General features: G+C 41.7%; 1 pseudogene across 1 annotated transcript in view; it reads right to left on the reverse strand.

Moving 5' to 3' along the window:
- FAM169BP (family with sequence similarity 169 member B, pseudogene) overlaps positions 1–13,908 on the reverse strand; it is a 77,175-nt pseudogene that overhangs the window by 36,718 nt on the left and 26,549 nt on the right. Inside the window, exons 3-4 of the transcript NR_171054.1 lie at positions 12,013–12,098; positions 6,721–6,898 (exon numbers count right to left, since the gene is read on the reverse strand). The product of NR_171054.1 is annotated as a family with sequence similarity 169 member B, pseudogene (transcript). The remainder of the gene's footprint in view (positions 1–6,720; positions 6,899–12,012; positions 12,099–13,908) is intronic.

A 13,908-nucleotide genomic window follows, 5' to 3' on the forward strand; every position in this document is an offset into this window, starting at 1 on the left:
CAGAAAAGATATAGCTAAAATGCTTAGAAATAATGTATACTCTGCCAGGCACGGTGGCTCATGCCTGTAATCCCAGCACTTTGGGAGGCTGAGGAGGGTGGATCATGAGGTCAGGAGTTCGAGACCAGCCTGGCCAACATGGCGAAACCCCGTCTCTACTAAAAACACAAAAATTAGCTTGGCCTGGTGGCACGTGTCTGTAATCCCAGCTACTCAGGAGGCTGAGGCAGGAGAATCACTTGAACCCAGGAGGCAGAGGTTGCAGTGAGCCGAGATCATGCCACTGTACTCTATTCTGGGCAACAAAGCAAGACTCCATCTCAAAAACAAAAAAAAAGAAAAAGAAAGAAAAGAAACAATGTATACTCTTCAATAGGCGTATTAGTCTGTTCCCACATTGCTATAAAGAAATACCTGAAACTGGGTAATTTATAAGAAAAGAGGCTTAAGTAGCTCAGGGTTCCACAGGCTGTATAGGAAGCATGGCTGGGGAGACCTCAAGAAACTTTCAATCATGGCAGAAGGCAAAGAGGAAGCAGGCACATCTTACATGGCCAGAGCAGGAGGAAGAGAGAGTGAAGGGGGAGGTACTATACACTTTTAAACAACTAGAACTCTTGAGAATTCATTCACATCATGAGAACAGCAAGGGGGAAGTCCACCCCATGACCCAATCACTTCCCACCAGGCCCCCACTCCACCACTGGGGGTTACAACTGGACATGAAATTTGGGTGGGGCCACAAATCCAAACCATATCAGTAGGTAAAACCTGGCCCCTGTGATCCTATTTATGCAATGAATTTGTACATTTTGTTTTCCTCACAGAATGAAATTATAAACTTCAGCCAAGCCCAGGCTAAATTAACAGACATTCTGAATCATATGGATCTAAGATTATGAAGAGAAACTGTTGTGCTGAAAAGTGGAGAAGCATGCCATTTGCTGTGCCCATCTCTCAAACATCAATACAACATCACCACAAAACACTGTGACAGGCACCAAGACAGAGCCAAGACTGGAGAAACATCATTAACTGTTCTGAACTTCTGAACTATAAACCCCTCCTATAGCCAATTAAACCACATGTACTCACTGGCAAATTTTCTTAACTTACATATGTAAAATAACAAAATAAAATATACCTAATCACCATCAAAATTACTTTTTGTTTAATTTACCTGCATGCATAGCAACCATTTTTTAATTCATCTAAATACATCCCTCTCTCAACTTATAGGAAGAGAGGGGAAGGCAAGGAACAAAATCCTATGATCTATACATGAATAGAATATTAGATAACGCTGGTGAGATGAAGTGGTCATGCAAATCCCTATATATAATAACTATTAAAAAAATAAATTTAATAAAACATTTAAAGACACTGCAAGGCATCCAAAAGCAGATAGAAGCCAGAGGAAAATTTACTTTCAGAAAACTGGAATAGGTAGAACCTGTGAGTTTTCAGCTTACCAGCCACAGGATTAATTCCACCTGCGAGGTTATAAAAAAACATTTGTAGGAAAAACCGCAGCCTTACCAGCTAAACATGTCAAATATCAGAATTCAGGATGGGAAAAAAAACACAGAAATTTAATGAGGAAGCCCTAGCAGCAAGAGAACCACAGAATTAGTGAGACCCAAATTCAGAGCATAAACTTCCGAAATCTGGCTTATAGCTAATCTGCGTATGAGTGGAGCAGACCCCAAGGGATCCGGCAAAAAAGAAGTCAGAGCCCAGAGAGATACCCACTCTTGAAAGATGGAATTGCACAGAATTAGACCTGTGACTTTGACACTTTCCTTAACCAAGGACATTCCTCAACTTGGGCAGCTGTAGTAACAGAAGACTGAAGTCAAATAAATTGTTTGAAGGGTCAGATTACGGAATCCAAATCTGGCAGAAGCAAGGAAATCACAGAGAAGGTAAGTCACATCCATGTCCAAATCTTTGTTGAACCACCAACTTTGCAGGTACAGGGAAGAACTCTACAGGGCCAGGCTAAAGAAGCAGCCATGGGAAGCCATACAAACAGATGTCAGCAGCTACATATCACAAGGGAGATGAAGTGTGCAGTTTAAATTCAGGCAAGTTCAATGCCTGCTAAAACAAAAATCTCAAAATCCTCGGAAATCAAAAAAGAATTTCAGTTGCTGCAACGACTAGTTTTCAACCAAAAATTACTAAATATGCAAAGAAACAGGAAAGTATGACCCTTACTCAGGAAAAAAAATAATGGTGGTCAGTAGAACTGAGTTTACATAGGCCCAGATATTGACAGACAAGGACTTCGAACCAGCTTTACAAATGTATTCAAATAATTAAAATAATTCCATGACTTCAAACCAGCTTTACAAATATATTCAAAGAATTAAAATAAAATAATCCCAAGAATTAAAGAAAAAGATATAATCAAATGAATAAATAGACAGGGAATCTCAATAAAGAATTGAAAACTCTACACAATAATACAAGTTTTAGCACTGAAAAGTACAATAACTAAATTTTTCAATAGACTTAGCAGCAGATTATAGATGGCAGATGAACCTGAATATAGATCAAGATAAATTAAACCAAAGGAGAAAGAAAAATATTCCAAGAAAAATAAAATTTCAGAGGCCTGTAAGACAATATGAAGCACCCTAACATACATATGGCTGCAAACCCAGAAAAAGAAGACAACTGGAACTGTGAGGAATAAATTTCTGTTGTTTATAAATTATCCAGTCTCTTGCATTTGTTATAGAAGCACAAATGGACTAAGATATAGATGTATCACAGTCAACTGCAAAAAAAAAGTCAAAGTTAAAGAGAAAGCCTTGAAAGCAGTCAAAGAAAAAATGACGTTTTGTTTATGAGGGGACAAGAATAAGAGGAATGGCTGACTTCTCACCCAAAATTATGAAAGCCAGATGATATTGGAACAAAATATTCAAAGTGCTGAAAGAAAAGAAGTGATCTCTAATAATTGTGTATCTGGATAAACTATCTTTCAAATATGAAAGTGAAATAAAAACATTTTCAGTAAACAAAAATTAATGGAATTTGTTGCCAGCAGAATGGCACTATAAGAAATACTAAGGGAAGCTGTATTAGTCTGTTTTGTGCTGCTATAAAAGAATACCTGAGGCTGGGTAATTTGTAAAGAAGAGAGGTTTATTTGGCTCCTGATTCTGCAGGCTGTACAAGAAGCATGGCACCAGCATCTGCTTCTGGTGGGGCCTCAGGAAGCTTCCATTCATGGTGGAAGGCAAAGGAGAGCAGCCATGTCACATGGAGAGAGAGGGAGCAAGAGAGAGATGGGAGGTGCCATACTTTTTTAAACAATCTGCTCTAGTATGAACTAATACAGCTAGACTCACTCAGTATCATAGGGAAGGTGCTAAGTCATTCATGAGGGATCTGCCGCCATGACCCACCCACTTCTCAGTAGGCCCCATCTCCATCTCCAACAATGGGGGGGTCACATTTTAACCTGAGATTTGGAGGGGACAAATATCCAACCTATATCAGAAGTATTTTGGCCTGAAGGAAAATTACACTGGATAGCAACTGTTTAAAAGAGCATGGCACTTCCCCACTCTTGCTCCCTTGCAGATATGAATGACATCACCAGTCACCATAACCTGACAGTTCTAAACACTACACCCAACAACCACCGAATATACTCTTTTAAGTCCCCACAGAATGTTCCCAAAGATAGACCACACACTAGGCCATAAAACAGCTCTCAGTCATTTTCAGAATATTAAATATAGCAGGCTATATTCTCTTACTGCAGCAGAATTAAATTAGAAATAAAAAAAAATCAGAGATAGCCCCCAAATATCTGGAAATTAAAAACTCACTTTTAAAGAACCCACAGAAATCACAAAGTATTTTAGAAAATATTTTCAACTGAATAATAATGAAAATTGATCAATTAGACTTCATCAAGATTTAAAACTTTTGCTCTCTGAAAGCCACTGTCATCAAAATGAAAATGTTTTCAAAACATATATCTGATAAAAAGCTCTTATCTAAAATATATAAAGAACTCTTGAAGCTCAATAATTTAAAAAACAATTAAAAATGGGCAAAAATATTTGAACAGACACTTCATCAAACAAGTTATATGACCATCAAATAAGCACATGTTCAATGTCATTCATCATTAGTGAAATAGTGAAATGTGAATTAAAACCAAAATTAGCCACCACTTCACACTTTATAGACTGGCTAAAATGAAAAAGATTGACAATACCAAGTACTGACAAGGATGTGGTGCAACTGTAACTCTCAGACATTGCTGCTGGTAATATATATATATATAGATTCCACAGAAATAGCCTCATTGTGTCTCCCTAAAAATGTTAATCCATAACAAGGCAGTAAAAAATTTTAAAGTTGGCAATGAAAACCTGAAAAATACATTTGCTTCATTTATTTTATTTTCTACAAGTTTGATACTTTTTTTTTTTATTTGAGACAGGGTCTCACTCTTTTACCCAGGATGGAGTGCAGTGGCATGATCTCGGCTCAAGTGATCCTCCCACCTCAGCCTCCTGAGTAGCTGGGACCACAGGCATGCACCACCATGCCCAGCTGGTTTTTGTACTTTTAATAGAGATGGGGTTTCACCATGTTGCCCAGGCTAGTCTTGAACTCCTGAGCTCAAGCAATCTGCCCACCTTGGCCTCCCAAAGTGCTGGGATTACAGGCGTGAGCCACCACGCACATTTGACACTTTTTAAACCCACTAAATTGCCAAGTAACTAACAGTCCATTGCCACTTCAAAAACCAGTTCATTAATGAAAATAATGTGACCTCACAAGCAGCTTCAGGGAACTTTTCACTGAATTTGTAGGATCCATCAGAAATGAAAAGGCAGAATTCAAGCACCCAGTCTGACCTGCCTCAGCTCAGCATCCTTAGGTCTTCCCTCTCCTCCAAGGCCCTGAATCGGCCTGGGGAAGAGCATAGCGGCTGCAGACAACCCCTGTGTCCCTCCCCGGAATCAGGACCCTTGGTATCACTGCCTCCAGGAATAGCAGCAGGACCAGGCAAGACCAAGGTCAAGCTCCTTCTGCCGCCTACCTGTGGTTTCACACATCAAGCTGGCATCTGTTAACAGTTTTTGTTAGTATTAGTAGGATGTCTACACCACAAATGATTTGGTTACAGACTCAAAAACAGCCATTTGGTAGAAAATGACCACTGATGAGTCTCCCAGGAAAGAGGAATTACAAAAAGCTTCCTTTTCATTTTAATTTTTCTCTAGGCCCCTTGGTCTATCTTAAATGGTGAAAGAACATGACCATTCAAAAAAGTGAAAGGGCATCAAAGTCTGAGGACAAAGGCTGTCGTGAGGAAAAGAGCTGAAAGACACAGGGGCTAAAGCTACGACTGACTTTGCAAATATAATTAACCAAGAAATGAAGAAGTGGTTTGGATGAGAAACTGCTGTATCTCACTGAGGAAAAAACAAAAAAGCGAGAAACACAAATTTATCGCATCCTGGACAGGTCAACCACACACACAACGTGAACGTGGCTCAGAACCAAACTCAGCCTCTTTAGCGCCCAAGAAAAACATCTAACTCGTAGTATATCCATGGCAGTTTACTGAGAAGATTAATTTTTGCTAAAATTGAGAACTTTTTGACAACCAAATGATGGGGCTGGAATTAGTTAGGTGAGAGATGTTGACAGCCTTTAAAAATTAAATAAAGAGGCCAGGTGCGGTGGTTCATGCCTGTAATCCCAGCACTTTGGGAGGCTGAGGCAGGAGGATCACTTGAGCCCAAGAATTGGAGGCAGCAGTGAGTTATGATCACGACATCGTACTCCAGCCTGGGTGACAAAGAGATCCCATCTCAAAAAAAAAGAAAAGAAAGAATGAAAAAAAGAAAGCAACTTTAAAGAAGAAAACCAGTGGCCAGGCGCAGTGGCACACACCTGCAATCCCAGCACTTTGGGAGGCTGGAGTGGGCAGATAGCTTAAGCTCAGGAGCTCGAGACCAGCCTGGGCAACATGGCAAAACCCCATCTCTACAAAAAATACAAAAATTAGCCAGACATGGCTGTAGTCCCAGCTACTCAGGAGGCTGAGGTGGCAGGATCACCTGAGCCCAGAAGTTGAGGCTGCAGTGAGCCATGATCGTGCCACTGTACTCCAGCCTGGGTGACATCAAGCAAGACCCTGCCTCAAAAAATTAAAAATAATAATAAAAAAGAAGAGACAAATCACTTCAGCAAAATGGTACTAGTCCCACACTTAGCACTGGTCACTGCCCTTCAAGTCAGAGACTTTCACCCTAACCTTGTTATCATGGCCGGACTCCCTCTCTTCTAATGTCTATAAATCTTGGCATCCAAGCTGCTTTGGCTCCACATGTCAGCTATTAGCAGTGGTATTTTTCCTGACAACTAACTAGTAACACTGAAAGAAAGAAATGAAATTTTATACCATTAATTACAATTAGTTATTTTTTAGAGGGGACATGGCACTGCCTGGAAATCAAAGGGACATGCTTTTCACCATGTTTGCCACTGAGATGAGAAATGTGGTGGAAATGGAATCCATACGTGGGGTTTATTTACACCCAACTTAATCCACGATACTTCCTGTGCTAGAAGATTCTCTCCACATAGCTGGTGCTGAGCAAGCCCTCCAGGCCAGGCAGACCCCTAGACAGCCCCACTCAGTCCAGCCTGAAGTGGTGGCCATGCATCCCTCACCTTTCATCTTGGTTGTGTAAAACCCAACAGCCGCTCCACGTCTCCACAGGATTTTAGCTTGTTCCTTCACAGAGTGAGGTAGAAAAAACATGTCATCATCATCCAAATTTCTCTCCAATCTTCCAAAAATAATGGCGTTTAGAATGAAAAGCACAACCCTTTCCCCAAACGACTGAACCTTTCAAGAAAAAAACAGAAAGAAAAAGAACAACAGTCAAGTGAGACAAGAGAGGAAAATCATGCGCAATAAATTCTGCGCTTGGATGTGACGCACACGTCGGGGCCAGGTGTGAGCTCCTCCACTGAAGATTCATTTTGTGCTCAAAGAGCCAAAACATGAATCACGGCATCTCACAGAGGCTTCCACACCACTGACCTTTGGCACCATGCAGCCTGCAGGAGCAGAGAACGCTGCCAGGGGCAGCCCCTGGTCCCCAGGGCCATGGACCAGGAATGTGAGACGACAAAGCACAATCCATCACATGGTAACAAAACAGGAAATTAACACTGGGGGGCTGCGGCAACCCATTTCAACTGACTTGCTGGATGTATCCTGAAATAAACCCGATTTGTCATTTTCATGACAGCAGGCCCCGGAATTCTGGCCGTCAGAAGGAGGGTAAATGATGTGGGAGATCAATTGCTACACCAAAAGCAAGTGAGTTTCAATGGCTTGTGACAGATTTAGAGCACACACTGGTGTCCTAATCCCAGAGAATTACGGGGACTCAGGGCACAGCCCGTTCTAAGGCTGTAAAATTGAACCATCTCTTGCCTGTAGCAAAGTTATCACAAGTGAGGAAATTGTATTGTGGTCAAAGTCAGGCCCACACAGTTAGAAGCTCCCCTTCGCAAGTCAAAATGACTTCACACTCCTGCCTGTTACAATGCTCTGCATTTGTGTAGCCCACGGATGGCAAATAGGTGGCAGAAACCAAGGTCTCCCACCCCTGGATTCAGAGCAGACCTATCTGTCCAGCTAAGCGTGGACACGGTCTCAGAAGCCTCCTTAACGCAGCCCTTCAGACAGCCACGAGCAACTGCTAAAATGTGGCAGGAGGTGAAACCAATCAGCTATTTACGAAGTGACAATGCTGTTGTATTGGAACTTACTCTGCAACACTGCTAGGTGACAGCCTCTGCGTGCGTGTTTGTCACTTTATCCTATGCATTACCTCCAGATCAACAAGGCCACTAACTGGTCCAGGACATCCACCCACATGCTACCATGTGATTCTCACCACCTGCTGGGGAGGTCTTGGTTCACAGGTGGGGAAATTGAAGCTCAAAGAGGGTGATTACATTTATTGATTTCCCCGCCTCATTTCAAAGAGGATTTGAGACAGCTGGGCGAGGGGTCTGTCAGAGGCAGGCACAAAACAACAGGCTGGGGCTTTCCAGTCCAGCCAGCGGTTTCATTCTTCATCTTCATCCATTAGAAATTAGATTTGGGGAAAGGGGATAATACAAATATTAATACTTTGTTTTATATTTAATACTTGACTCTTGGATTATCATCGTCATCATTTGCGGTTTGTGGGTTGTTACGCTGGATTTGCTGGGAGATCCTCAGCAACTCACAACCTCTTTGAGTCTTGGTTTCCCCCTCCAGTCAAGGGAGAAGATCCTTCATGTGGTCTCTAAAATACTTGCATGTTTTTCAAATGCTCTGATAATAAAAATAAGGCAGCTTGCAGCAAATGGCACGAAGTGTTCAGTGCCAACAAACTTACGAATTGGCCAGAATGTAAAATATTTCACCTTCATCTGGAGCTAAATCTTAAATGAGAAAAAGATTAGTGAAAACCACACTAGCTTGGCTCTGAGAAGCCATCACATTTTGTATCTCAGACAGCGGCAGCCAAATCAAGTTCAGACGTTGAGAATAACTAGCTAGTCACAAAACCAGATTGGTGTCGTGGAGGAGGTTATATTTTTCAACTTATAAAACTAAAAAGTTCAGAAGAAAGCCAGAAGACAAAAGCAGATTGCATCTGGCAGAAGGGAAATATCCAATCAAAAACTGGCAGGAGAAAAAGGAGGAGAAAGAAAATGTACTTAATTTGTCCAATTTCATTATGGGGGAGGAAAACGTGTGACATGTGATTTTGACTCAGAAATGTTTCTGAAAACACAAAGCTAAGTTCCAGTTCACATCCCTCATTAGGACCACTAATTAAGTTAACAAGAAAAACATTAAGAAATCTTGTGGGGGTTTTTTGGTAATTTGTGAAGAAGAGCTGGCTAGGAAACAAAATGTAATTAAAAGAAAAAGAAAAAAAGTCAAGATCTAAAGTTCTACAAACAGAGGGGAAATATTCCTATGTACAGCTGGGGTAGGATAGATCTTTACAACATGGTTAATTAAGTGGAAATAACACCCAAGTTTCTTTCTGTTCATAATATAGGCCACATTGTCAGAAAATGTGGGGGTTTTCTCATTTAAACTTAGAAGAAGAGATGACAAATGAAGGAAGTAACAACTCTTGTTCTGAAAAAATTATTTAAGGAGCCATCCACATTCTTCATAGCATTCAGAACAGTCAGTCATTAAGTGGCCACCTGGCCCACCTGCAGCACCAGAGCTGGGGCAGCAACGCAAAACAAGATGCCAAGCACCACACTGGGTACATCATGCTCACTTGCTGAATCTCAGGCCGTCTCTAATGTGCTGGAAGAAAAACCTTTTCAAAATAATATCTACTGAGTCGATTAAAACGAGACCTAAAAAAGACAACTCATAGAATGGGAAAAAAATAATTTCAAATCATATATGTGATAAGGATTATGCATATGAAAAACTCTGCACATGAAACCCTGCATATGAAAAACTCTCACAACCCAATAGTAAAAAGTCAAATAACCCAATTAAAAAGTGGGCCAAGGATCCTCATAAACATTTTCCCAAAGAGGATCTATAGATGGCCAATAAGCACATGAAAAGATGTTCACCATCCTTAGCCATCATGGAAATGCAAATTAAAACCACAGTGAGATTCTACTTCACACCTACTAGGATGGAGAACATTAAAAAGACAATAACAAGTGCTGGTGAGGATATGGAGTGACTGAAACCCTCAGACACTGCTGTTGAGAGTGCAGAATGGTATAGCTGCTGGGGAAGGCAGTTGTACAGTTCCTCAATATATGAAACATAGAGTTACCACATGACCAGCAATTCCGCTCCTAGATATATACTCAAGAGAACTGAAAATATGTATCCTCACAAAAATTTCCCTACAAATGCTTATAGAAGTATTATTAATCATAGTCAAAAAGTGGATACAACTCAAATGTCCATCAACTGAAAAATGGATAAATGAAATGTGGTATATCCATACAATGGACTATTATTCACCCCCAAAAAAAGAATGAAGTACTGATGCATGCTGCAATGGATGAACTCTGAAAAGATTAAGCCAAGTTACAGAGGCTGTTTACAAAAGACCACCTGTAATATGATTCCATTTATAGGAAATATCTAGAAGAGGCAAATCCATAGAGACAGAAAGCAGATTATGGTTTCCAGGGACTGGGGAAAGACAGGAATGAGGAGTGATGCTAGTGGGTAGAAAGCTTCTTTTTAAAATGATGAAAATGTTCTGGAATTAGTGGTGATTGATACAGAATGTTGTGAATATATTAGAAGTCACTCCATTGTACACTTTAAAAGAATGAAGATTATGATGTGTGAATTCTATCTTAATGAAGCTCTTGTTTAGAAAAAAATCAAGAACTAATTTTTTAATTGCTCAGCAGGAAAAAAAATAAAAATAAAATAAAACCTGGATTAACAACTTGGGAACATTACCTGAGACCCCTTATAGGGATTATCTAATTTCAGAACCTTCGAGGTATTTGTTGTGTAAATGAAGACATCGAGGCTGAGTCACACAGCCAGTAAGTGATGTAGCTGGGTACAAACTTCCATCTCCTTGACATCAGGCTGGAGATCTTTGAAGTGTTGTGCCTGGGACTATTTCCCCTCTCTGTTTGTAGAACTTTAGGTCTTGACGTTTTTTCTTTATCTTTTAATTGTATTTTGCTTCTTAGCCATTCTCCATACTGAACCGGAAAGAATACTGATATTTCATTCATTATTTACAGGGCTCTATGAAGGGAACCGAATGGCATTCCAGACAACTGTAAACAAGATCACACATTTCAAGACTGCAGGGAAGCATCATCCTTCTTCCCACCTATGGAATTAAGATAAATATACCAATTAAATGAAAATGGGTGAATGTGAGGCACACAGTCCAAACTCTCAGTTGGGTACTGGCTTCCTCCTTAGCCTCTGCCCCAGCCAAAGTTCAGCCAACAGGATGCCACCTGGACCTCTGAGAAGCTCCTCTGGCTCCTGCCTTCACACCTGCCATCCCAGGTCTCTGCTTTACAACTGCTCAACAGAGGCACAGCTCTTCAAAGATCACCAGGTCTGATGTCAAGGAGACAGATGTTTGTACCCAGCTAAATCACTTACTGGCTGTGTGACTCAGCTTCAATGTGTTCATTTGCAAACAAATACCTTGAAGGTTCTGACATTAGATAATCCCTATAGAGTCTCAGGTAACATACAGGATAATATCTGCTACAATTCTAACTCATGCTAAGAGCCAATAAACGTTACCTGAATGCACTAAGCAGAAGTTTCCCATTCAACAGAGAGATGGTGTATGTTAAAGTTTTAAAACTTAGACATGAGGGGCCACTCAGGAAAGTAAAATAGACTTATCAGTAGCCAGATATCTGTTATACATAGCACTGAGTGCTGTTTTCCTTGCTAGCAGGGTGTTATGGATTGAACTGTCACCCCCAAAAAGCTGTTGACGTCCTAACCCCCAGTTGTGTGAATGTGACCTTATTTGGAAAAAGAGTCTGCTGGTCAATCAACATGAAGGGATTCAGTTGGTCTCTAATCCAATATGACTGGTGTCCTTATAAAAAAGGAGGATTTTGACAGAGACGGAAACACATATAGAAAACAATGTGGAAATACAAGGAGAAGGTCATCTACAAGCCAAGAAACCCCTGAGGCTACTAGAAGCTAGGAGGGAAGCCAGGAACAGATTCTCATTTACAGCCCTCAAAAGAAAACAACCCTGTCGATTGCTTGATTTCAGACTTTCCAGCCTCCAGAACTCTCAGACAATACATTTCTGTTTTGTGGTACTCTGTGGTACTAGGAAGTGAAGATATGGCTAGACTGCTTTAAATTATCAAATTATCAAGGAGGCACTGTGACTTTTAGAACTTCTTTTACAACATTCATTTAGAATTGCATCAACTCACCTTCATCAACCCTTCTCTTGCAGGATCAGAGGTTCTTAGTGCATCTTCCGTGGAGCACCAGGATTCCTTTATGTAAACAGCCACAACTAGAGGGAAAGCCAAAAGAGGATGATGTGCACACAGCAAACTGGCCAACAGAGGGGCAGCTTCACAGCACAGAGCCACTGACAAGGTGCAAAGGGAAGATGATTTGTGGGGAAAGCAGGTGATATTTTTAGAGCTGAATTTACTGACCAGGAAAGAGTGACCGCTCTCACATGAAGGGGGCTTCACAGATGTTTCAAAGGTGGCCTGTTGTTGATGCCAAAACAGATTATAGCCCAATGTTTGGGGACACAATGGGATACACACCAATATTGACAAATCCAATGGGTAAGAATTACTTTTTTTTGAGTCAGAGTCTCGCTCTGTCACCCAGGCTAGAGTGCAATGGTGCAATCTCAGCTCACTGCAAGCTCTGCCTCCCAGGTTCAAGTGATTCTCCTGCCTCAGCCTCCCAAGTAGATGAGACTACAGGCGTGAGCCACCACGCCCTGCTAATCATTGTATTTTTTGTAGAAACAGGGTTTCACCATGTTGGCCAGGCTGGTCTCAAACGCCTGACCTCAAGTAATCCACCCACCTCGGCCTCTCAAAGTGCTGGGATTACAGGCATGAGCCACCATGCCCGGCCAACTCTTTTCATGTTAAAAACACTTATCAAAGTCCAACCATGTGCCACAGCACAGAATTTCCCCAATTGAGTAAAATTCAACATGGGCTAAGCGCGTTAAACAAACTGATTTAATACCTGTGTATTGAGCATCACCTTGGCCCTGGGCTTGGTGCTGCCTTCTTTTACATGAGTTTCTTTCATTCTCACCATGAAACTGTTACCAGCATCTTTCTAAGGAGGATGCTGAAGCTCTGAGAGGTGAAATGACTTGCAGGCAATCAGCTAGAAGGGGCTGAGGTGGGGTTCAGCCCTGGGCCACTAGACTCCTAAGTCAGTGCTCCTTCTAAGAGGCTCGAGATGGGTCTGGGGTTAAGAATGGGGTGAATCACATGGGGTGGAGGGGGTGTCTTTGGATGAGAAGGTCCCTGAGCTAAGATCTACAGGAGAAGGGTAGGGAAATCCTCCCCTCCTCCCCCCACCCTTACCCCAGGCATCTCCAAGCCCTGCTGACTCTGCCTCAGAAGCATCCCCAGAACCATTCCAAGTGTAGACATGGGTCCCGCTGCTCAGCAGGGGAGACCTGGACATGACTCCAACTTCACTAAGCCCAACATTCCTCATCAGAGTTGCCCAAACTGATCACCCCAGGTGGCTGGGAAGTTCCCATGAGGATCGGTACTGAAATGCCCAGCATAGGGCCTGGCACACGGGAAGTGCTCAGTGTCTACTAATCAATTAGTCGATTTCTCCTCTTCCCTTCATGCTGGCATCACAATGTCCCATCAGTTCCTCCAGCTGCCTCATAACAAAATCTGTCCTCTTGGTTCCAGCTCCAGATCGCAGCTGGGTGAGGCCACCAACATCTCCACTGACAGCTGAGACAGCCCATCGCCTGGTTCCCACCTCAGTCTCCCCTGCCAATCCATCCCTACTGACTGGTCACTCTAAATCCCACCATGGTCTCTGCCCCTTGTCCCAACTCAGCAACTTTCCTTTCCTTTCTTAAAAATTACATTTTTTTCTTTTAAAATTTTTTCCTTTTTAATTTTTTTCTATTTTTAATTTTTGTGGGCACACAGTAAATATATATATTTATGGGATACCTGAGATGTTTTGATTCAGGCATGCAATGCGTAATAATGGAGTATCCAACAGGGCACTTACATCTGTAATCCTAGCACTCTGGAAGGCAGAAGTGGGCAGATCGTTTGAACCCAGGAGTTCAAGACCAGCCTGGGCAA

The sequence above is a fragment of the Homo sapiens genome, chromosome 15 (genome assembly GCF_000001405.40).
Source record: "Homo sapiens chromosome 15, GRCh38.p14 Primary Assembly".
In the NCBI taxonomy this organism is placed as follows: Eukaryota; Metazoa; Chordata; class Mammalia; order Primates; family Hominidae; genus Homo; species Homo sapiens.